Here is a 26222-nt window from a genome sequence, read left to right as displayed (position 1 = left end):
ATTCCTTTTCATTCTTTTTTCTCTAATCTTGTCTTCATGCTTTATATCCTTAAGTTGATCTTTAATCTCTGATATCCTTTCTTCCACTTGATCGATTCAGCTATTGTTCCTTGTGTATGCTTCACAAAGTTCTTGTGCTGTGTTTTTCAGCTCCATCAGATCATTTGTGTTCTTTTCTAAACTGGTTATTCTAGTTAGCAGCTCCTGTAACCATTTATCAAGGTTTTTAGCTTCCTTGCATTGGGTTAGAATGTGCTCCTTTAGCTCAGAGGAGTTTGTTATTACCCACCTTCTGAAGCTTACTTCTGTCAATTTGTGAAACTCATTTTTTGTCCATTTGTGTTCCCTTGCTGGTGAGGAGTTGTGATCCTTTGGAGGAGAAGAGGCATTCTGGTTTTGGGAATTTTCAGCCTTTTTGCACTGGTTTTTCCTCATCTTTATGGATTTATCTACCTTTGATCTTTGATGCCGATGACCTTTGGATGGGGTTTTTGCATGGGCATCTTTTTTGTGGATGTTGATGTTATTGCTTTCTGTTTGTTAGTTTTTCTTCTAACAGTAAGGCTTCTCTTCTACAGGTCTGCTGGAGTTTGCTGGAGGTCCACTCCAGACCCTGTTTGCCTGGGTATCACCAGCAGAGACTGCAGAGCAGCAGAGATTGCTGCCTGCTCCTTTTCTGGAAGCTTTGTCCCAGATGGACACCTGCCAAATGCCAGCCGGAGCTCTCCTGTATGAAGTGTCTGCTGACCCCTGCTGGGAGGTGTCTTCCAGTCAGGAGGCATGGGAGTCAGGGACCCACTTGAGGAAGCAGTCATTCCCTTAGCAGAGCTCGAGCATTGTGCTGGGAGATGTGCTGCTCTCTTCAGAGGCAGCAGGCAGGAATGTTTAGGTCTGCTGAAGCTGCACCCGCAGCCACCCCTTCCCCCAGGTGCTCTGTCCCAGGGAGATGGGAGTTTCATCTATAAGCCCCAGACTGGGGCTGCTGCTTTTCTTTCAAGGATGCCCTGCCCAGTGAGGAGGAATCAAGAGAGGCAGTCTGGCTACACTGGCTTTGCCGTGCTGTTGGGGGTTCCACCAGTCCAAACTTCCCATCGGCTTTGTTTACACTGTGAGGGGAAAACTGCCTACTCAAGCCTCAGTAATGGCAGATGCCCCTCTCCCCACCAAGCTCGAGCATCTTAGGTTGACTTCAGACTGCTGTGTTGGCAGCAAGAATTTCAAGCCAGTGGATCTTAGCTTTCTCGGCTCCATGGGAGTGGAACCTGCTGAGCAAGACCACTTGGCTCCCTGGCTTCGGCTCCGTTTCCAGGGGAGTGAACAGTTCTGTCTCACTGGGGTTCCAGGTGCCACTGGGGTATGAAAAAAAAAAACTCCTGCAGCTAGCTCATTGTCTGCCCAACTGGCAGCCCAGTTTTGTGCTTGAAACCCAGGGCCCTGGTGGTGTAGGCACCCGAGGGAATCTCCTTATCTGTGGATTGCCAAAACCATGGGAAAAGCATAGTATCTGGGCCGGATAGCACCGTCCCTCATGGCACAGTCCCTCACAGCTTCCCTTGGCTAGGGGAGGGAGTTCCCCAGCCCCTTCTGCTTCTCGGGTGAGGTGATTCCCCACCCTGCTTCTGCTCGGCCTCCGTGGGCTACACCCGCTATCTAATGAGTCCCGGTGAGATGAACCGGGTACCTCAGTTGGAAATGCCGAAATCACTCACCTTCTGCATTGGTCTCTCTGGGAGCTGCAGACTGGAGCTCTTTATGTCATTTATCTTTCTAAGCATTCTAAAATTGTTTATTTTCAAGTCTTTGTCAGGCACTTCTATAAATTTAATCTAGTGTTAATGGGATTTTTTTTGTTGTTTTTTATCCTATGTTTTTCTTGTTAAATTCATATTTAGATGTAACAGTATTATATATTTGGATTACAGGGAGTTGCATCAATGTATGAATTTACTGTGCTATCTCATCTGATTGTCTTCTGACTATATTTCTCCTGCTCCTCCTCCTCCTCCCCCTCCTTTTTCTCTTTCTTTTGCTTACCTGTTTCTAATTCCTTACTCTTGGATAGAAAACAATGTCTTTTAATGGCTCTTCTAGAGTCCCACTTTGTTGTGAGATTATTAATATTGAACGTTCATTCATAGAACTAATGGGTGGCTTGGTTCAATTCTTGTTAACAAATCTCTGTGAACTTTTGTCAGTATAATCCTGTCTCTTGTGATAAGCTATAAATCCAGGAAGCTTGTTAATAATAGATCTCAATAAGACAGCTCTCGTCTTCCATTTTGCATGGACTAAGTTCCCGGTTTGTCCTTGATGGCATTACTATAAAGGACCAAAACTTCACCATCACTGCCCTGAAGTCAGTAGGCCTATGGCTTCAGCCCTGCTGACAGGTTTTTGTTTCTATTAAGGTTCGGGTTCGTCAAGCTATTTAGCATAACTGTACATTTTCTGTCTTTTAGTTTAAATACATGTTTGCTATATGTTTAGAGCAAAGGAAATTGTATCAATGTATGTATTATCTGTACTATCAGCTGATTATTTTTAACTGTGTTTTTCTCCTCCTTTTTTTTAGGACTTGTTTTAATTCCAGGAGGTGCACTTGGCCAGCTTCTGGGAGGTGTCATTGTTTCCACATTAGAAATGTCTTGTAAAGCCCTTATGAGATTTATAATGGTTACATCTGTGATATCACTTATACTGCTTGTGTTTATTATTTTTGTACGCTGTAATCCAGTGCAATTTGCTGGGATCAATGAAGATTATGATGGGTAAATGTAGTCTTGTATATTAGACTTTTACATCAAAATCCTACAGCATATTCCTCAGGCAATTAATAATTATCTATCCAGTAACCCTTATATGTTCATATAATTATTGGAATTATCAAACACATAAAAGAAATATAAAGTACAGTTTAAATTTTCATAGTAAGGCACAAATATTATAATGGTATCTTTTTATATGACTGTTTATGCATTCGTAAAGTAATGAAGAAAAAACACATTGAAGAGGTTTGGAACCTATAAATAAAGTTTTGTATTAGGGTGGGTAGCAACTAGGAGACAGTACTAACTGTGCAAAGCCAGTCTTACCTTGTGTTTCTGAATTGGTTTGTCTGCCTTCTTATAGACATCAAAGAATGAAACTAAAGTTCATCTGAAGGTATGCATGGGTAATATCTCATTTAAGCTAAACATGCCAAAATTCGAAGAATTGGGCAAAGCTTGATATTAAATACTAAATAACAAAACTGGAATTGGAAACCAAAGGACTGAACAAGTAAAATAAGAGTTTAAGACTTCTACTTTGAGCAACAATGGATTAGTTTATGGCAGATCAATCTTCTCACTGAGAATAACTAGAAAAGCTGAATACAGTTTTAAAAGATTTGGTTAAAGGAATCAAAGAGTTATTTAGGCAACTAGGAATTTAAAGGCCAAAATCCTGGGAAAAGGCAAACCATGGAGAGGAGGGGCAACTTTTTGCAGCCACTTTTTCCCTGAGAGTATTTGCTGATTCTGAACATTGGCAACAAGCTGAGAATTTGGGTGAAGAGTTTGGGCAAAAGCATCTAGTAAGATTACAAGAATTTTAATAGACATATGAGTCTAAAGAGAAAAAAATTAGTACATAGAAAGGCCATGGTATCAGAGAGCAGAGAGAGGTAAACAAATGATGCAACACTCTGCCGGCTTATAACTCAAGAAATTTGCTGTATTATGAAGCTAGGAGGCTAAAATCAAGCAGAAATCCCATGAAAATCAGGGAAGAATTCCAGCCATATTGTGATGCTCTGTAGATAGGAGATAGAGTTTAGAGTGTGCTGGGTAAAGGAATCCTGGTAAATCCTGGTTCTCAATTAACATCTGTGTAAGGCTAGGACCTAGGAGCCAGGAGCCTTTCTAAAGTACTATGGCCTGGCCAGGAGTTAATTTGGTCTCTTAATTGGATTAGTGTGGTCAGCCAACAAGCTGTGTCATAGAGAGATAATATGATCCAAAGCTATAAAATATAAATGATAAGTGAACTTCATATCAGTAGCAATAATTATCCAACAGAAAACAGAGAGAAAATAGAATTAATAAAAATTAACAAAATGTCAATGAATTGAACAGCTTCAGATGGCCATTGTATGTGTAACTGAAGTCCCCAAAGGAGGGCATCTGGAGAAAGAAAAATATATCAAGATATTATGGCCAAAATTTTTCAAATTTCATATAAAAATAAACTGTAAACATGTTAAAAACTCAGCAAAACTTTGGTACAAGAAACATGAAAAAAATTACACCATAACACATTGTAATCAAATTATTCAAAATAAATGATATAAAGCAAATCTTAAAATTAGCAAAAATTAGCAAAAAGTATATGTATATACATATACTTTATACATATACATATACTTTATGTATAAATGTCCAAAGATAAGGGTAATGGCATATTTTTATCAGAAACAAATGCAGGTAAGAAGACAGTGGAATAATATTTTTAAAGTCCTTAAAAAAAAGTCACCTTTAATTTTATATCAACCCAGAATATCTGTCAAAAAAATGAAGGAGAAATAATTTTAGACGAAAAAAGTAAGTAATTTTTTTTTTTTGACGGAGTTTCGCTCTTGTCACCCAAGCTGGAGTGCAGTGGCACAATCTCAGCCCACTGCAACCTCCACCTTCAGGGTTCAAGTGATTCTGCCACCTCAGCCTCCTAGTAGCTGGGATTACAGGCATGTAACCTCCACCACACCCAGCTAATTTTTGTATTTTTAGTAGAGACAGGGTTCACCATATTGGCCAGGCTGGTCTTAACTCCTGACCCACACTACATAAAATGTTAAAGGAAGTCTTTCAGTCAGAAATAAATGATACCAGATGTAAATATGAATCTACATAAAGGAAAGAAGAGCAATAAAAATGTTAACTATGTGGATAAATATACATTTTTAAAATTATTACTTGTCTCTTTGAAAATAATTATTTAAAACAGAAAAATATGTAATATGGGTTTACATGAAATGCTATAATAGCACATGTTGGTAGACTGTGTTAAGTTAAAAATGTATACTATAAATCTTGAAGCAATCACTAAAATAACAGAGTCACAACACATAAATCAACATAGTTAAAATGAAATTATTAAAAAATAGATATTTAATCCCAAATTAGGCAGAAAAAAAGGAAAAAGTGAACAAAAAGAGATAGGACAAATGGGAAGCAAGAAGAGGGTAGATTTAAACCTAACCATATTAGTAATCACATTAAATGTACATAGCTGAACATCTCAGTTAAAAGGGAGATAATCTTTATTTTGAAAAAAAAAAGAAGACCCAACTATATATGCTGTATTTTATAAATGCATTTCAAATATAGATAGTAGTATATTAAGCAGAAAGAATGGGAAAAGATGTATCTTATTAACAACAAGCAAAAGAAAGCTGGAGTATAACACCAGATCAAGTATTTTTGAGAGCAAAGAATATTAGCAGGAATAAAGAAGATCATTACATAATGATAAAATTACCAATTCATCAGGAATACATAGCAATCCTAAGTATGTATTAACTGCATGTAGAGCAAAAATGTGTACACTGCAAGGAGAAATGAAGACATTTACAGCTATAGTCAGATAATGGATAGAAGAAGGCTCAACAATAAATAGAAAAAGTAGACCAAAAAAATCAGTGGTCAGAAGTAGATCAAAAAATTCTGGTTTGAACCATACTGCCAACTGTCTTAATTGACATTTGTAGAAATGGCCCACATAACAATACACATTCTATTCATGCACGCATGTAATGGTTACCAAGTTGGAGCATATTCCGGATTGCAAAACCAATCTCAGTACATTTTTAATATATTTTTTATTTACATAAATTTGTGGGGTATGATTGCAATTTTGTTACAGGCATAGGTGAGATAAGTGGTCAAGTCAGGGCTTTTAGGGTATCTATCACCCAAATAATATACATTATACCCATTAAGTAATTTCTCATTATCTGTCACCTTCTCACCTCCTTACCTTTCTGAGTCTCCATGGTCTATCATTCCACTCTCTACAATTATGGGTACACAAGTTTTAGCTCCCAGTTGTGACTGAGAACATGTGATATTTGTCTGTCTGTGTCTGGCTTGTTTCACTTAAGATAATGACTTCCCGTTTCATCTATGTTGCCATAAAAGACATTATTTCATTTTTTTCTTATGACTAAATAGTATTCAACGTGTGTGTATATATATGTATATATAAATATTTATATATCACATTTTTTAATTCAATCATCTGTTGATGGATATTTAGGATGATTTCTTATCTTTGCTATTGTGAATATTGCTGCTATAAATAACTACAGATATCTTTTTGATATATTATTTTATTTTTCTCTGGTTAGATACCCAATAGTGAGAGTACTAGATTGAATGGTAGTTATATTTTTTAGTTTTTGAGAAAACATCTACTGTTTTTCATAGAAGTTGTACTAATTTACATTCCCACCAACCGTGTAGAAGCATTCCCTTTTCTCCATATCTTTTCTAACATCTGTTATCTTTTAACTTTTTAAAAATAGCCATTCTGACTAGGGTAACATCATACTTCGTTATGGTTTGGATTTGCATTTGTTTGATGATCAATGATGTTGAGCATTTGTCATACACCTGTTGGCTATTTGTATGTTTTCTTTTGAAAAATGTTTATTCATGTCATTTGCCCCCTTTCAGTGAAATTATTTGTGGGGGTTTTTGTTTAGCTGTTTGAGTTCCTTGTATATTCTGGATATTAGTCTTCGTTGGATGGATAGCTTGAAAATATTTTCTCCTAAACTTCAGGTTGTTTGTTCACTCTGTTGATTATATCTTTTGCTGTGCAAAAGCTTTTTAGTTTAATTAAGTCCCATTTGTCTATTTTTGTTTGGTTGCTGGTGCTTTTGAGGTATCAATCACGAATTCTTTGCCTAGACCAATGTCTGAAAGAATTTTTCCTATGTTTTCTTCTGGTATTTTTAGAGTTTGGAGAGTTATATTTAAGTCTTTAATCCATGTTGAGTGCTTTTTGTATATGGTGACAGACAGGGGTCCATTTTCATTCTCTTATACATAACAATCCAATTTTCCCAGCATCATATATTGAAAAGGGTGTCCTTTCTCTAAATGTATATCCCAGTTAACTTTGTCAAAGATCAGTTGGCTATAAATATGTGGCTTTTCTTCTGGGTTTTCTGTTCTATTTCATTGATATATGGGTCTATTTTTATACCACTACAATGCTGTTTTGGTTACTGTAGCCTTATAATGTAATTTGAAGTTGGATAATGTGATACCTCCAATTTTGTTCCTTTTGCTTAGAATTACATTTGCTATTTGGGCTTCTAGTTTTGTTTGTATATGCATTTTAGGATTTAAAAAATTCTATAAAAATGATGCTGATATTTTGATGGGGATTTTATTGAATATGTAGATTGCTTTGGGCAGTAAAATCATTTTAACAAGATTAATTCTTCTGATCCATGATCATGGAAAGTTTTTCCATTTGTTTGTGTTATCAACAATTACTTTCTTGTAGTTTTCTTTTCTTATAGAGATCTTTCACCTTGTTAGTTTAATATATTCCTAGGTATTTTACTTTTTGGACCTATTGTAAACAAGCTTGCCTTATTAATTAATTTATTTATTTATTTATTTATTTATTTATTTACTTACTTACTTTGAGATGGAGTTTCACTCTTTTTGCCCAGGCTGCAGTGCCGTGGTACAATCTCAGCTCACTGCAACCTCCACTTCCCTGGTTCAAGCAATTCTCCTGCCTCAGCCTGCTAAGTAGCTGGGAGTACAGGTGCATGCCACTACGCCTGGCTATTTTTTTGCATTTTAAGTAGAGATGGGGTTTCACTGTGTTGCCCAGGCCGGTCGGAAACTCCTGAGCTCAGACAATCCACCTGCCCCGACCTCCCAAAGTGCTAGCATTATAGGCATGAGCCATCGTGCCCGGCCTGGCTTGTTCTCAGCTAGATTTTTATTGGTGTATAAAAATGTTACTAATTTTGTATGTTAATTTTCTACACTGAAACTTTACTGGATTCATTTATCAAATCTAAGAGATTTTTATTGGCATCTTTAGGTTTTTCTAGGCCTAAGATTGTATCATCAATGATCAGGGATAATTTGACTTTCTCTTTTCCAATTTGGAAGCCTTTTATTCTCTTTCTCTTTCCTGGTTGCTCTGGCTAGGACTTCCAGTACTATTTTGAATAGGACTGCTAAAAGTGGGCAATTTTGTCTTGCTCCAATAATTTTAAGAAATTATGCTGGATAGATATCTATATGCAAATGAATGAATTTTAATTCACATCTTGCACCATATAAAATAATTAGTTCAAAATGAATTATAGATGTAAATATAAAATATAAAACTCCAAAAATATAAGAGAAAATATTTTTTATCTTGCATTAGGCAAGTATCTTTTAGATGTGACACCAAACACATAATCCAGAAAAAAATGAATTGATAAATTGAAACTTGTCAGAAATTTAAAAACTACTGTTTGAAAGAACTTGTTTATGGTATGAAAAAGCAAGCCATAGAATGTGAAAAACTATTGGAAAATAATATATCTAACAAAAAAATTACTTCCAGAATATTAAAAAATAAGCAATCCAACAAAATAGGCAAATGATTTGAACAGATATTTAATAAAAAATACAGTTTGAAAAGAAATATATGGAAAGATGATCGACATCATTTGTCACTAGCAAAATGCCTATTAAAACCCAAAATATGAAACTACTACACCCCGTTAAAATGTCTAACATTTTTTTAAAAAGAGACCATACCAAGTGTTGGTGAGGAGAACAAACGAAACTCTTATACACTGCTGATGGAAATGTAAAATATCACAACAGTTCTGAAAAACTGACAGTTTCTTAAAAAGTTAAGTGAACACCTACTGCATGATGCAAACATTCTATTTCTTAATATTTACCCAAGAGACATGGAAGCATATGACCATACAAAGACCAAATAAAGACCAGCTGCATGAAAGAAGCCAAAGAAACCAGACATATTCTATGATTCTATTTCATAAACACTTAGGAAATTCAAACAAGTGAATAGTAACAGAAAGTAGATCAGTGTATGCTAGGGAGTGGGGAAATTACCAAGGGGCACAAGGAAACTTTTGGGTTTTTTTTTTTATTATTATGTTTGTTATAAATAAACTTTTGATTATTATGTTTGTTGGCATGATTTTGGTGATGATTTCACAAGTGTATACACATATCAAAAATCTTCAAATTTTAGTCTAAGTATGTGCAGTCTATTGTACCTCAGACCTCAGTAAAGCTGTTAAAAAAAGAAATTATTTCAATAAGCATATTTTATGGATCTCACTGATATCTTGACATTTGCATCAATAATTATAAAACAATGGTAATATGATTACATTCAATCTTGTTTTTACAGAACAGGGAAGTTGGGAAACCTCACGGCTCCTTGCAATGAAAAATGTAGATGCTCATCTTCAATTTATTCTTCTATATGTGGAAGAGATGATATTGAATATTTTTCTCCCTGCTTTGCAGGGTGTACATATTCTAAAGCACAAAACCAAAAAAAGGTAATTATTTTTTATAATTATTATGTTTTGTTATACATTTATATTTTCATTATATTATAATTATTATTTTTATGCTTCTTCCTCTTTAGTGAAATGTTCAACTTGTAGATGCTATTAACATTTTTCTTCCAACTCTGTATAAAACCTATTTTTTCTTATTTTCCCCTTTTAAGTGTTAAAGACAAGAAAATAAAATTTGTTTTTTTTTTTTGGTGTGTGTTTATTTTTTGAGACAAGATCTGACTCTGTCACCCAGGCTGGAGTGCAGTGGAGAGATCCCAGCTCACTGCAACCTCCACCTCTTGGGCTCAAGCCATCCTCCCACCTCAGCCTACAGGATAGTTGAAACTACAGGCGCACACCACCGCACACAGCTAATTTTTGTAATTTTTTTAGAGATGGGTTTTTGCCATGCTGCCCAAGCTGGTCTTGAATGCCTAAGTTCAAGTGATCCACCTGCCTTGGTCTCACCTCCAAAACTGCTGGGATTATAGATGTGAGTCACCGTGCCTGGCAAAAATTTGTTTTATATTGCCACAATACAAAGAGCTTATGGAAATTGGGAGTGAAAGAGATATTCCTACATTAAAATGTCAATGAAAAGAGTCAAACTCTGTAAAATATTTGAAGAGACTTATTCTCAGCCAGATATGAGTGACCATGGCCTGTGACACCTTGGGAGGTCCTGAGAACGTGTGCTCAAGGTGGTCACAGTGAAGCTTTGTATTATACATTTTAGGGAGGCATGAGACATCAGTCAAATACATTTGAGAAATACATTGGTTTGATCCAGAAAGGCGGGACAATTTGAAGACAGGGGAGGGGAGGGTTGTAGCTGGGGTAGGGTTTTGGGGTAGGGCTTCCAGGCTGTAGGTAAATTTAAACATTTTCTGGTCGACAATTGGTTGAGTTTGTCTAAAGACTTGGGATCAATAGAAAGGAAATGTCCAGGTTAAGAAAAAAGATTGTGGAGACCAAGGTTCTTTTGAAGTCTCATAGTGGCTACCCTAAGAGACAACAGATGACAAATATTTCCTATTCAGACCTTTTAAAAGGTGGTTGACTCTCAGTGAACCTCTTCAGGATTGGAAAGACCTGAAAGAAATGTTACGTTATTTGCTATGCTAATAGAGATTCTTTACAGATGCACATTTCCCCCCCACAAAGGACTGCTTTGCAGGGCCATTTCAAAATATGACAAAGAAACATGTTTTGAGGTAAAATATTTTGATTTTCTTCTTTGTCACCTAATGTTATGCCAGAGTCAGATTAGAAAGTAAGTCATGATAAAGAGGGTTAAATAAAACCCATCTGATGAGAATTTATGGTTTGAAGGGCATGAGTCCCCAGATCCCTTAGATAGGAGTTTGGGCAAGATTTAAAAAAAAAAAAATCAGAGCTTAGTCCTCAATAACACATCTATGGGGCCAGGTGTAGTGGCTCATGCCTATAATCCCAGCACTTTGGGAGGCCTAAAAGGGTGGATCACTTGAGCCCAGGAGTTGGGGACCAGCCTGGGCAACATGGCGAAACCCTGTCTCTACAAAACATACAAAAATTAACTGTGCATGGTGGTGCATGACTGTAGTCCCAGGTACTTGGGAGGCTGAGGTGGGAGGATTGCCTGAGCCTGGGAGGTGAAGGCTATGGTGAGTCATGATTGTGCCACTGTGCTCCAGCCTGGGTGACAGAGTGAGAACATATCTCATAAAAACACAACAAAACACACACACACACACATACACACACAAACACACACACACATATATATATATTACATCATCCCAACTTTATTGTTTTAAAGCAGTGGGGAACTCTTATCTACCTCTTGCCATAGCAAAGTTGAACGAAACAGCCTGAGAGAACCTTCCCCTATGTAGTTTGTCTTAGCTCTATGCTACTTAACAGCGGCACCCAATCCCCTGAAACTTCAAGCCACAATCTTTTCCACACCTAGAGATTGACGAATACTATCCTTTTGGTCACCTTTCACTCAGTTTTTCCTTCTACTGAAGAATCCAAAGTGTTTACTCTCTACCTTTTTGCTGTTTCTCTTTCTGCTCCACATTAATTTAGATGTGGAAATTAGTCCTTCTATGGTTTATCAGAAGTCACCCTAACTTGTATGCTTTTGTTAGTACATCCAGGAAAGTGAGAGACTTAGTTAGAGGTTCATGGGGCAATAACACATGTGACTCGAATATATGTTATTTCTGTTTGTCCTTTGGCATTTATGTAAATTGAGGCTATTTAAAAATTCCCTCATGTGCTCATCTGTGGGGCCATTACCATCAGAATCCCTTATTTCTCTGGGAAAATGCTAACACATTTTCTTCTTCTGTCATGAAAAACAGTTGACCACTCTACCACTTGTTGAGGTTAATTTTTTAATATCCCAAGTTGCATAAATAAGCTTTTGGCTAAATGATGGACTATCTACTCCAACTTTCACCTTTTAAATAGCATAGAAGTATGGATCCATTCTTTGAAAATTCTCTTTCTCTTTCCTTGCTCTGGCTAGTCTTCGTGAATGGGAGAGAGCAACAAAGAGGTGTGGTGCCTTTTCTGGCCTGCCCATGGCCACCCATGGACAAATCAGCATGCACTACCTCCCCTCTGAGGTCCATAAAAGCCCTGGGATCAGCCAGAGCAGAGGAGAGGATGGAGCAATGAAGGATGACCAGCTACAGAGAGGAGCTACCCTCTCTGCTTAGAGCTGCAGACATGGGGATGACCAGTTGCAGAGAGGAGCAACCCTCTCGAGGGACTCCTCTCTGCTGAGAGCTGAACACTGGACAGGATGACCCGCCTACAGAGAGGAGCTACCCACTGCAGTTCTCCTTTGAGCTGTTGTAACACTCAGTAAAGCTCCTCTCCTTCTTGTTAACCTTCCACTTGTTTGCCTACCTCATTCTTCCTGGACACAGGATAAGAACTTGGGCAAAGGCACATTAGCCACAGAGATTTCCAGCCTCCAAAGTGACACCCCAAAGATCCCATAACACCACTTCCTCTCCTTCATTTTATTTTTAAATGCTCACCATGTCATCACAGTATACAGTAAAACTGTTTGACCTTGATGTTTTGATTCCCTGGAATATTCAAGAGCTGAACAGGCCATGAAGGATATAGCTGTAACCCCTGCGTCCTTTTTTTCTAGGGAATCTCTTTTAGAGACTTTATTTATTTCATGAAACTCTTCATAGTTTTCTTTATATTTCTCTAAGGAGTAATTAATTCATGAGGAATAACAGTGATAGAAATAATCCACAAAATAGTCACTCAAACTGTGTGATAACATTTGATACTTAATGAAAACTGAAAGAATAAAATCGATATGAAAGAAATTGCCTAATAGGACAATTAGCCTTGCTAGGAAAAATGGCTTTGATAGAAAATCTACCAAGTAGAAGCTTTTAGTAAAATGTGATATGGATGGAAACGATTAATGGATAGAATAAGCATCAATTTCAAATGGGAAAAGATCGATACCAATAAAAAAATCTTAACAAAATAAAAATTAAAATAAGATACACTATACAAAAAATGATCAAGTACCTATATGCTATTAATGGAATCCCCTTTAAAAAATATTTTCTCAATGAAAATATGTCAAGTATGAAAAAATTCTGATTAAATGTTACTATTCAAAATATGATCAGGGCCAACATAAGCTAGAATTAGATGCTCTTCAATGAAACTTATGCAAAAGTTTGTGAGAGGAGTAGTAGGAAATACTATACCTCTAACGATTTTTAGGTTTCTCTAGAAAAGTACAGCTGTACTAAAACTGAAAATAGATATCTGCTGTTGATATTGATAATATTCCTGGGCAGCTTTTCCTCACTGAGAACCACACGTATTCTTCTTATCCATGCTTCCAAAGATCTTCAAATTTCTTTATATAGATATTAAATAAATCTTGGGCTTTTTTTGTGATCTCCCCAAGACTGATTCCTTTCAGCCGCTGATATAGTTTTCATTATAAAATAGCAATATGGAATATTCTTCCAGAGGTTCAACAGAAACTTCATTCTATTTATCTCTGAAGAGGAAAGTAAATCACATCCAAAGGATTAAGGATTATAAGAAGCAAGGCTTCAGGTTTTCATTCAGCTTAAATATCATTGGAATATTTTAATTTTATTTACTGACCTCCTATCTTTGTGTTATTTTTAATATGTATTTTTATATGTTTTAAATGAAATATGCTATTATAATTTGGCTTTTGTACAATCAATATTGACTTTTATTTACCCTTTTCCTTGCATTTTCATTCTTTCATATGGGATTATTTTTCTTCTGCCTGAAGAACCTTATTTCACCTTCATTTTGAAAACGGTTTTCACTGGGTATGGAACTTTAGATTGGCAGTGATTCCCGCTACTCCTCATTCCCCCCACCACCAACATTTAAAAGATATCATATGTTGCCTTCTGTTTCTGGATGCTTTAGGATTTTCTCTTTGTTTTTGGTTATCAGAAGTTTTACTTTGATGTGGCTTTGATTATGTTTATTTTGCTTGGGTTTCACAGAGTATCTTCAGTCTGTGGATTCAGGTCTATCGGTTGAAAAATTCTTAGCTATTTAACCTCTCTCTCTCTTTCCTGTATTTTTGGGAACTATTAGTTTATTATTGCTACATAATAAATTACAGTAGCCCCTGCATCCATAATTTAAATGACCTGCAATCAACTGTGGTCTGAAAATATTAAGGTATTTTGGGAGACACAGAAAGAGAGAGAGAGAGAATCTTCACATAACTTTTATTACAGTATTGCTATAATTGTTCTATTTTATTAATAGTTATTGTTAATCTCTTACTGTGACTAATTTATTAATTAAACTTTATTATAGGTATGTATGTATAGGAAAAAAAGGAGTAGATATAGGGTTCAGTTCTATTCATGATTTCAGACATTCAGGGATCTTGGAATGTATTTCCCATGGATAAGGGGGGATTATTGTACCACAATTTTAGTGGTTTTGAATAACACTCATTTATTAGCTTTCAGTTCTAAGGTCAGCAATCCAGACATGCCATGCATGACTGGGTCCTCTGCTCCAAGTCTCACAGGCTGAAATCAGGGTAATAGCTGAGTTGTGCTCCTTTCTGGAGGGCCTTGGAAAGAGTTCACTTCTAAGTTTGTTCAGGTTATTGAACAAATTTGGTTCCTTTGGGTTAAAAAAAGAAGGCTCTAATTTTTTTGCTAGCTGTATGTTGGAGGCCAGTATTAGTTTTCACAGGCCTCACACATTCTTTCACATATAACCCACTCCGTCTTCAGTGTCAGCAACAGAGAATCTCCCTTATGTTACATATTTTGTATCTCTGATTTCAAGAGGAGCCCGGTACATTTTAAGGCTCACCTAATTAGATGAGGTTTATCCAAGATAGCCTTTCTTTCTTAAAGTAAACTATGCCATAGAATATAATTGAGTAAAACTGATTGATGCAGGCAGATGAGCTCCAATATTGGGGCTTAGCCCGGGAAGGTTCTTGGCCTTGCCCAGGAAAGAATTCAAGGGCATCATTCAAGGTTGGTATTACACAGCAACTTTTATTGAAGCACTGGTATACAGTAGCAGCAGAGAGGTATTGCTCCTTGTGCAGCAGTACCCAATAGGCAATGTGCCCACAGTAACAGCTCAGAGGCCGGTCTGCAGGTATATTTATATCCACTTTCATTACATGCAAATTAAGGGACAGATTATGCAGAAATTTCTAGGAAAAGGGCAGGGGGTAACTGGGTTGTTGGGTCATTGCCATGGAAAGGGGTGGTAACTACTACTGTCGCCATGGCAATGGCAAGCTGACATGGCACACTGGTGGACATGTCATGGAAAGCTGCTTCACCCTGTCCCTGTTTTAGCTAGTCCTCAATTTGGTCCAATGTTTGAGCCCCCATCTACGGAGTTGAGTCATGCCTTTTACTTCCTTATCAACTTACAGTCCTAGGGATTATGTAGGGATATACACAATAGAGGGACTCTTGGGTGTTGTTTTGGAATTCTGCTTAACGCAGACTACAAATAGTCATTTCTACTCCTGTTCCATAATCTTTTGCTACTTTTTCTCTTTTCTGTCCCCTTTCATCTGTTTATTTAAGTATAGATAGTTTCTGTTCATCTATCTTCCAGTTACTAAGCCTCTATTCCGCAGTGTCTGCTCTGCTGTTAAACCCATTTTCTGAGGTTCTAATTTCACTTGTATTTTTTAGTTCTAGTATTAATGTTTTTTTTTAGAATACAAATCTCTGGTGAAATTCTACATAATTTAAGCTATGTTATTCATTTGTCTCCTGTACTTTCTGGAACACATTAATCATAACTATTTTAACATTCTTACTATTAACTCTGCTATCTAGTTCACCTATGAATCTACTTATATTGTTTATTTTTCTCTAATTTTAAGCCAAATTTTCTTGTCACTTTGTATGGCTTATAATGTTGTATTAAATTCTGAACACTGTGTATGAAAAAGATCTAATATAATTGTATAATTGTCTATTTCTCTTTATTTTTGTGTTGTGTATTAACGTGTATATGCCTACATATTAATAATTGTCACATCTTTTTGATGAACTATTCATTTATCTTTCTAAAATGTCCCTTTTTGTCTCCGATAATAATATTCTTTTTCTTGAAGTGTATTTTGCATGATATTAAATCATTATTATAGCATTATTTTGCTATTTTTATGGTGTATTTTATTTCTATCCTTTTGTTTTCCTGTGTCTTTATGTTTAGACTGTCTCCTGTAGCCAGCATAGAGTAATGGATTTACCTTTTCTCCAGTCTGTTATTCTGTCTTTTAATTGGAGTTCCAAAATTATTTACATTTAATAGAGTTATCAGTATGGCTGAGTTTAGATCTAGCTGCTTATTTTATTATTGGAATTGAATACACTTTGCTATTTCACTTTAGTATACCTTGACATTTTGTTTTATCTCTTTGAATTGATTTTTAATTGAATGGCTCTTAGATTATATAACATTTCACAGTCTATTTAGAATTAATATTATAGCACATAGTGTAATATAAAACTCACCATATAGGTATAAAACTCACCATATATGTACCTTTACTTTTCCCCAGTAACATTTATGTTGCAGTTGTAACATGTCTTATAGCTATACATATATTCAAATTTGTGATAGATAATATTATGACTTGTTTAAAAAAATTGTACTTAAAATATCTTATGAAAATAATGTAGTCTTATATTTACCCAGAAATTTAATATTCATCATTCATGAAGATGTGAGTTTCGCTCAGCATCATCATTTACCTTAAGCTTGAAGAACTTATTTTGGCATTTCTTGTAAAGGAGGTAGGCTGGTGACATCCTTTTAGTATTCTTTCAACTTAAAATATCTTTGTCTTGCCTTCATTCCTGAAGGATATTTTCACTAGACATTGAATTCTGGGGTGATCATTATTTTCTTTCAACACTGTAAATATGATGCTTCTCTGTATTCCAGCATCCATGGTTTCTGATGATATATGTATGGTGATTCAAATAATTGATTTACTTGTATATAATATATATTGTTTTATCTAGCTATTTTCAGTATTTCTTTTTTTTTTAAATTTTGCTTTTCATTAGTGTGTTGGTTTGGTTTTCTTTGAGTTTATCCTGTTTGGAATTCACTGAACTTCTTGAATCCATAAATTTATATTTTCACCAAATTTGGGTAGTTTTCAGCAATTTTTAATTTAAATGCCTTTTTCTGCCCCAATATCTTTCTCTTCTCCTTCACAATTCAGCTGCTTTTCTTTCATTTAGAACTTCTACAGGTAGTTACTTTTTGCATATTTTAGCCAGAGTTTTTATTTGTAATCAGTTGGAGGGATGAGACTTGGAGGACTTAAATTATGTCAGAAAAGGGACTCTCACTAATTATTTTAAATGCTGTAAAATTGTATAACAAATAATAACATAATGAATATTTTGGCTTTTAAATTCATGTTCCTGTGTTGGAGAATTCTGTGAGATACCTCCAGTGTATGGAGGTATGTGTATTTTCTTTTAATTTAGGCACGATTTTTCATATGTTTTGAATTAAAGTTTTGGCTGTTTTATTGTTTCATCAAATGTAGAACTTACTTCTCTCTTCTCATCCTTGCTCTTTGGTTTAATTTCTGCGATGCCAGTTGAGTAGTTGCCTCTTTATAGGTAATAGAGCACAGGTATACATTCTCTAGTGTTCTCCCACAAAACTTGGATATTTTATGCCTCTATTAGTCTAACATTTCATACTAACATTGTGTACATAAATCCATTATAGTAATACCAAGTTTATGAAAATAACATTTCACTCTAAAATTAAAACATAAATAAAAACAACACAGAGATACCCTTTTCTCTTTTTAATTTGTTAAATTAAAAAATGTTGATAGTTCAAATTAACACATAATCTTATATGTTTCTGGTGTTATAAACTTTCAAAATATATTCTTTTTTTGTTTTTTGTTTTTTTGAGACAGAGTCTCTCTCCATCACCCAGGCTGGAGTACAGTGGCACAGCAGTGGCGAGATCTTGGCTCACTGCAAGCTCCGCCTCCCCGGTTCACGGCATTCTCCTGCCTCAGCCTCCCAAGTAGCTGGGACTACAGGTGCCTGTCACCACACCTGGCTAATTGTTTGTATTTTTAGTAGAGATGGGGTTTCACCATGTTAGCCAGGATGGTCTCGATCTCCTGACCTTGTGATCCACCTGCCTCAGTGTCCTAAAGTGCTGGGATTACAGGCGTGAGCCACCACACCCAGCCTAAAATATGTTCTTAAGCAATTTGAGAATACATATCAAACAACCTTTAAAATGCTGATGTTCTTAGATGCAGTATTTTCCATAGTGAGTCTCAATTCCAAGAAAATAAAATAGATATTGTACATCTAAGTAATATTTTAAAACTCAGAAGGGAATAAATTGGCAAGTTATAGGAATGAGTTTATGTAAATGGTGATGTATGTACTTGAAAGAATAATATAAACCTTTCAGAGATGACTAGTCAAAAAATAAGAAAAATAAAAAGTAGAAAAATAATTAGAAAAAATAAGTAGAAAAATAGGTAAAAAGTATATATATAATATAAAATTCAGTTAAAAAGCTTGATTATATGCTGTACTTGTTAGGAAATTTGTCTCTTTGGTTCACCATTATTTGCAGTATCTAGATTACTGCCTGTTTCTTTGCAGATGCTTAATAAATATTTGTCAGATGAATAATCATTAAAATGTTACTTTAAATTTACACCTTTTTTGGATAAAGTAGTAGTTTTTCATGGTAAATAATTCAAATAGTTTAAGCTGTACTGTTAAATATGTCTCCTTTCTATCACAGGCCATTGATACCTTGTGCTCATATTCAGAAGCAACAAATTTTACCATCTGTTTTTATGCATCATTATAGAAATATACATGTTAAAGCATATAAAGTCTTTTCTATACAAATGGGAGCATATTATACATATTTTATGCACTTTGTTCTTTTAACATGATATCTTAGAAAATAAAAACAAATACTTTAAGATAATATCCATCTTTGGGGACTTGACTATTTTTACTTTTTTCATTTTTCTATATCTTAAAAATATTTTCAGTGGTCATGAATTATTTTTATAATGAAAAGTAACAAAATTTAAGTTAGCACTGTACTTTCATTACCATTACTATGCTCTGGTAACTGTGTAGAGACTAATCATGTCCTCTCAGCTGAGACAGTACATTTGGGTAAGAAAAATACTCCTGTTCAAGGCTCACAAGCTTTTATCCAAAATTCTTGCATTCAAATATCTCAGTTGTTGGATTTTAAAAAGAAATATAGTACATAATCATTGTATATCATATTCCACACTCAGCAGAGCAGCAACTGTAATCAAACATTAATATTTCTATACCAACACTTATGATATTCTCATTTAGAGAGATAAATGAAAACATTAAATAGCTTTACATTATTCTAGGTCATATTTTTTCATCAAATAAGCTACAAAGAAAATTCTTTGGTTTTCAGAGTTCTCTGGACTTGAAAATTATGTGTAGAGGACTGTGGGCCTATATTAGTAACTTAGAAACTAACATTATATAGTAATTAACAATGGCTTGCAAGCCATTTGCAAAAGTTGATATTTTATAAATTTTATCATGGTGTTCCAATTTAAATGAGGAAAAAGTCATTGAAATGTAATGTCATTGTGATGGTATTAACAAGTGGGATCATTAAGTGGTGATTCAGCCGTGAAGACTTTGCCCTCATCAAGAGATTAATGTCATTATTGCAGGAGCAGGTTTGTTATTGTCATGGTGGGTTGCTATAAAAACAGTTTGGCCCTCTCTTGTGCTCCTGTTCTCTTACCATTTTGCCTTCTGCCATGAGATGATGCAGCATAAAGGCCCTCACTAGATGCCACCATCTTCATATTAGACTTGCCAGCCTTCAGAATTATGAGAAATAAGTTACTCAGTCTGTGGCATTCTGTTATAGCAACACAAAGTGAGCTAAGACACTCATTAGTACTTTTAGACCATTTTCCCTTTACTTTTTCCCAATTCTCCATTGAAACTTACTTGAGCAGGCATTACCTCTACTATCCTTTTTGTTACAGTCATTTTCAGACTCAAGAATACTTCCTCCCATTCCTTGAGGATTTTAGGCCCTGGTTCACTGGCATTCTTTCTAATACAGTGGTTAGTAATCTTGAAATTCATCTTGAGGCTCTTTCTAATACTCTAACCATATAATTCCTTGACATATTCTTTCCTGGTAATCTTGTTTGCACCCCACCTCATGCAATGTCCTTCGGTGGTCATACCCTAGGCCTTTACAATAACTTTACTCCTTCCATGATCTCAATTTCAATTATTCTGCTATTGATCTACAACTTCCTTTCTTTCAGCTCACTTTCTCTAATACATGGACTCCTTAGTTCTTCAACCCTTTTAGAGCCCAATGTCTTCTGATTCCATAATCTGTTCATGAACCCTTCGTTGTATTTTTTATTTCTCCTTTTAGCCATCTTGTATGGCTAAAAGGTTGTATGGCCTACAACTATTTATTGTGCTAAATATCTTTTGTCTGTCCTCCAGATTCATTTTTTACCTTTCTCTACCCTCCTCAATATAGGATGAAAGCTCCTTTGCCCTCTGGCTTTGGACTGGGTTAAGATGATAAGGAGTCCTAATAGGAAATCAGGAAGACAGGGAAAGCAAGTGAAATCATGGTGTTTATTTTCTTGGTTCTTTCCCTGAGCTGTGAATGACTGACTGCCTCCCTTGACTAAAAGTCATAGTTTCTCTTAGGAAGTCCTTCCCCATATGACCTTTTCTTTCTGGTGACCATTTTCACTCTAGAATCCTTCAGCAAATCCTTTCAAACCTATTTTCAAAGTAAACTCTGAATTTGGCCATTTTTATTTTCTCTGATTACCACCCTGGCCTCCCAAGCACTATTGTCTTGTACTTTATTTTATAGACTTTTAACTGTTTTATCTGCTTTTACCCTTGCCTACATATTTCAAAAGTCTCAATATAGCAGTCACAATGATCTTTTAAAATATATCATTTATATATCCATCCAATGACTTCACATCACTAAAAATAAAAACCAAAGTTCTTTACATTGCTCTTGCAATTGCCACCCGATAGCTGTTTAATCCTTCCTTTCCTACCACCCTGATTTTATTTTCTCTTAGTCTCCTTCATGTTCATTCTGATCCAGCATATTCTGTTCTTGTTTTTCTTTCAACTTTTCAAGCAAGCTCTACCACAAGGCTTTTCAATTACTGTTCCTTTTTTTTTACTTGAAACATTCTTTTAGATAACCATGTGGTCCACTCACTTACCTTTTTCAGATCTCAGCTCAAATATCACTTCATCATCAAAACATTCTCTGATCATGTTAAGTATTGTCCTATAACCCCCCCAATATTCCCTGTACTTTTCCTTGTTTTATTATTTTCTCCATAGCACTTATCATTAAATACTCAAGTTCCTTTTTTTTAAAATGTCCTGTCTCCCCAAATAGAAAGTTTTCTACATGGAATGGTGGTTTCTATATTATTGTTTACTGTGTTTTCCCAAAACCTAGATTGATGATTGGCATATAGGCACTCAAAAAAATATTTGGTGGAATGAAGGAATTGATATTTGGATATTTGGGTATTTATATTATTTAACATATTTATTAACCTCTCAGCAACTTCACCTATCAAACTGACATAAATTTGTCTGAATTATAATTTTCTGAATAACCCAGATTCAAGTTATGTTTAATTTCTCTTATTTTTTCACTAGTAAAATCTAATTCAATATTTCTGCTAAATTTATTGTATTGTTCTTTTCTTCTTATTTTTTAGTTTAGAATATTTCCAATAAATTAATAAATTGCGAACTGGTCTCTGCATCTTTAAACTCTGTTTAATTCTCCTTAGAAAATGTCACCAATTCATCTGCCTTAAATTATCCACCCTACAACCACAACTCCAAATTCTCATTGGCTTTCCATTCAGGACTGCAGTATGAATCTCATTGACTCTAGACACTTTTGCCTTCGTGCTCTCTTTTCTTCACTAAAAAATTAATAATGATAAAGAAATTATTTTATCTACACCACATTGGTGTGAAAAAATACAATCCAAGCTGGATTCATCATTATATATTCATTTTATATAATTTATTATTATACACTTTTTTCTTTGATTTTAAAATGCTTTAAAATTAAAATATTTTATGTGGTTCTGAATATGTTACAGATTCTAGGCATTGTGTCTGTTGTCCCAAATGGATAGCAGCCCTGTCATTATTACATACAAAATAAAGTCTTTTTAGTATGGTTTCAAAGCCTTTCACAATTGGGTAACTATCCATATTTTAAATCTCAGCTAAAATTCCATTTTTTGTTACATTATTTTTAATTTCCCTCAATTTATATATTTAACAATTTCTTATGAATTTGAATATAAATATTCTGAGGAAAATTTCTTAAATTAACAGAGCTTTTCCTAAGTAATTATAATTACACACACACACACACACACACAGATTTTTTGCCATGTAAAATACCTTGGATTTATCATTAATGTTTCATTTCTAAATAATACATAGCAGGCTTAATATAAAGACATTTTGAAATAAAACTAATGAGTCTCCTTGCAGTTATTGATTTAATTTTTATTTTATGATAAGAACTTTTGTTTATGACTATTTTTCTGAAAGATTGTTTCCTGTCTTCAATACTCACAGATGTACTACAATTGTTCTTGCATTAAAGAAGGATTAATAACTGCAGATGCAGAAGGTGATTTTATTGATGCCAGACCCGGGAAATGTGATGCAAAGTGCTATAAGTTACCTTTGTTCATTGCTTTTATCTTTTCTACACTTATATTTTCTGGTTTTTCTGGTGTACCAATCGTCTTGGCCATGACGCGGTATGTATATATTACTCATTATTATTGTTTATTTAATATATAAGAAAAGTAATTTTGGAAAGATTTTAGAATATTGTAGCAAATAATTTACTCTGTGTTTCATGGTAGCAAATGCAGAGGAAAAGTTGTTAAATTGACACAATTCATGTGTATAATTATTTCTCTTTTAGCTAACTTATTTGCATAGAGTATGTAAATATCACATTGTTTAACTTTAATTTAAAACAATGTATTTACCTAATTTAACACACATAGAAACATTATAAATATAGGAAAAAAATATTAATTTTAACAGATTTGATTATAATGTTAACTCATTATAATTGGTCATAGGAATTTATTAACTATTTACATCCATATTGCTTAATTTGACTATGAGAAAGCATGAGTGTCATCAACAAAGGAGCATAATAACTTTTAGAATTTCAGTATATAATTTTTATTATTATTCTAAACAAAACCAACATTTATTATTTATGCGTTCTTCCTAAATATATGAAATCCATTTAATATTCATTTGTATCATAGTGCAGAATAATTGTTTTGTTATTTTCAATTTTTTTTTTCAAGACGCTAACAAAAAACTTTAAGGCGTGAAAAGCCTGCATAGGCTGACCAGGAAACAAAGAGAGGAAAATGGTAATTTCTATCTGAGTTGATTTGGAAGTACTATAAGATCTATTCCATAAAATGACTTATAAAGATAAATGATTTCTCATGATACAAGCAGGCGGGGGACAAGACCTTAGCAGGAAAAGTGAGCAGTGAAAGTGAAGCCAAAAAATGTATGAAATATCCTGGCAAAAAGTCTGCTATGACAGGATAGCATGATAATGAATGAGGCAAAGAGATTTGAGCTAGGTAAGGGCCCAATTCACATTAACACGACCTTCTTTGCCATGTTAACATGAATGTTGCTATTCTGTGTACACACCTGGGAACCACTGAAAACTGCAAACCTCAAGAGCGAAAGTGATCAGATGGCATTTTAGATAGAATGCTTTGAAAAGACTGTGAAAGATGGAGCTGAGGGGAAAACCTGGAGAAAACGGAAAGCCCTTAGAATTTAGTAGTGGTGGCCAGGCGCGGTGGCTCACTCCTATAATCCCAGCACTTTGGGAGGCCGTTGCGGATGGATCACTTGAGGTCAGGAATTCGAGACCAGCCTGGCCAACATGGTGAAACCCTGTCTCTACTAAAAATACAGAAATTAGCCAGGTGTGGTGAAGAGGGCCTGTAATCCCAGCTACTCAGAAGGCTGAGGCAGGAGAATCGCTTGAACTCGGGGCGGAGGCTGCAATGAGCCAAGATCCATGCCACTGCACTCCAGCCTGTGTGCCAGAGTGAGACTCTGAAAAAAAATAAATAAGAGGGTAAGATTTATTAATTTGATATGCCTGGTACAAAATATGGAGAAATCTATGATTATATCCAGACTTCCAGTTTGGAACTGAATGAATGATAATTCCATTAACTAAAATATGAAATACAAGGAGAAAAGAAACCTCAGACTGAAGATGATCAGTACAATATTGAACATTTATTAGTTAGTGTTCTTTGAAACATTCAATGTTTCCAGCAGTGAGATGAAAGAGATAATAGTAATATTCTAGAAGTTTAGTTCTGAATCTCACTTCTCTCAATAACAAGACAGAGATAAAGAGAATAAAACACACACACAGACACACACTATAGTTTCAGTACAATTATGACATAGAACAAAAAAATGACAAAGTTGAAATTGCATATAAGTGTTGCCAAAATTTAAGCAGGACTGGAAACCAGCTTGTAGGTTCAGAAGATGTTATAAGGAACAGAAAATATACAGAGGACCCAAGGACTGACAGATCACAGGTATCTCTAACATATATTTCTGCTCAGAAGGAGAGGGTTTGGTCTTGATACGGACCTTCTGGGAGCAGGACTTACATAGATAAGTTGAGGAAGAATCTCTCAGGAAAGAAGGAGAAGGAGGCTTGAAAATTTCCCAGGAGGTCCGGACATGGCCGACCTCAAAAAAAGCCAGGAAATACACCTTTTGCAAATGAATGCATATAACCTCTGAAAGCAAGAAATGTGAAAAGATTTTAAAAACCCTGGGCTGGCAGTAAAAGCTCTTTTGAACTAGGACATATTTGGAGAGGCAGAGGAAGTGTTACTACACATAGAAGTCATATTTAAGTCTACTATATCAATAGAAGAGATAACCTATAGGTTCAAAGCTTGGCCAATGCTCCACCCCTGGAAACTTCCTCAAGTTTAAGAAAATGTATTGCATTCAAAAATGAGTAAGTAGAAAAGGAAAGGATTCTGCCTATGGACAAAATTACAAGTAACTGCTACAAATGAAATGAAAATTATCAAACATTACTATAGACAATGAAAACTCACCAAAAAAAGTTACCATGTATCAGATAAAAATATAAATGTAACTACATATGAGTTTAAACTTAAAAAATGAAACAATCATGGCCACAGAACAGAAGAAAAGAACTAGATCCTCTCTGAAACTCGTGTTGCAACTTAATCCACACTGTAACAATATTAAGAGAGTAGGCAATCTGACTGCTGTATTTGAGAGGTGGAACTTTTGGGAAGTACTTAGGATTAGATGAGGTCATGAGGGTGAAGCATTCATGGCTCTGTAAGAGGAGAAAGAGAGACCTGAGCTAACACACTCAGCCCCTTGGACATGGGATACCCTGTACTGCCTCAGGACCCTGCAGAGTACCCACCAGCCAGAAGGTGTATATTGTGTTACATTTATATAAGATGTCACTATTGGAAGAAGTTGGGAGAAGATACACAGCATGCTTTGTACTATTTTTACAATTTCCTGTGGGGCTATAATACTGTCAAAATAAAAGTGAACAACAAACCCCACTCACCCACCCCCTACACACTCAAATATCACACAAAAGCAGTCTGACTTGAACAAAGAGCAAAGATGTGTCTTGTGTTATTGAATAGGAAAGCCAACACCACAAGTATATCAATTCTCCTTAAGTTAATTTATAATTTTAACATGATAATGAAAATACCAGGAGAACTGTGGAACTACATAGCCTGATTCTAAAGTTCTTATGGAAAAATAACAAGCAAGAGTAAGCTTGGGAATCTAAAACAGAGAAGCACAATAATTGATGCCTAGCCTCACAAGCTAAAAGGCACCCTAAAAGTCTC

At 35.1% G+C, this 26222-nt stretch overlaps 1 protein-coding gene across 10 annotated transcripts in view; it reads left to right on the top strand.

The window, feature by feature from the left end:
• The window catches only part of SLCO6A1 (solute carrier organic anion transporter family member 6A1), a 127228-nt gene that overhangs the window by 76408 nt on the left and 24598 nt on the right, over positions 1-26222 (top strand). For 8 of the 10 annotated variants that reach the window (XM_011543148.3, XM_011543147.3, XM_047416703.1 and 5 more), the window contains 3 exons: positions 2573-2768; positions 9451-9604; positions 22852-23039. In XM_011543148.3, the coding sequence (XP_011541450.1) occupies positions 2573-2768; positions 9451-9604; positions 22852-23039 (538 nt within the window). Of the gene's footprint in view, positions 1-2572; positions 2769-9450; positions 9605-22851; positions 23040-26222 lie in introns of those variants that run through there. The other 2 variants (NM_001308014.2, XM_011543154.4) reach the window with 2 other exon arrangements.

This window comes from Homo sapiens, chromosome 5, assembly GCF_000001405.40.
Source record: "Homo sapiens chromosome 5, GRCh38.p14 Primary Assembly".
Classification (NCBI taxonomy): Eukaryota; Metazoa; Chordata; class Mammalia; order Primates; family Hominidae; genus Homo; species Homo sapiens.
This window is presented reverse-complemented; position numbering and strand designations above follow the sequence as displayed.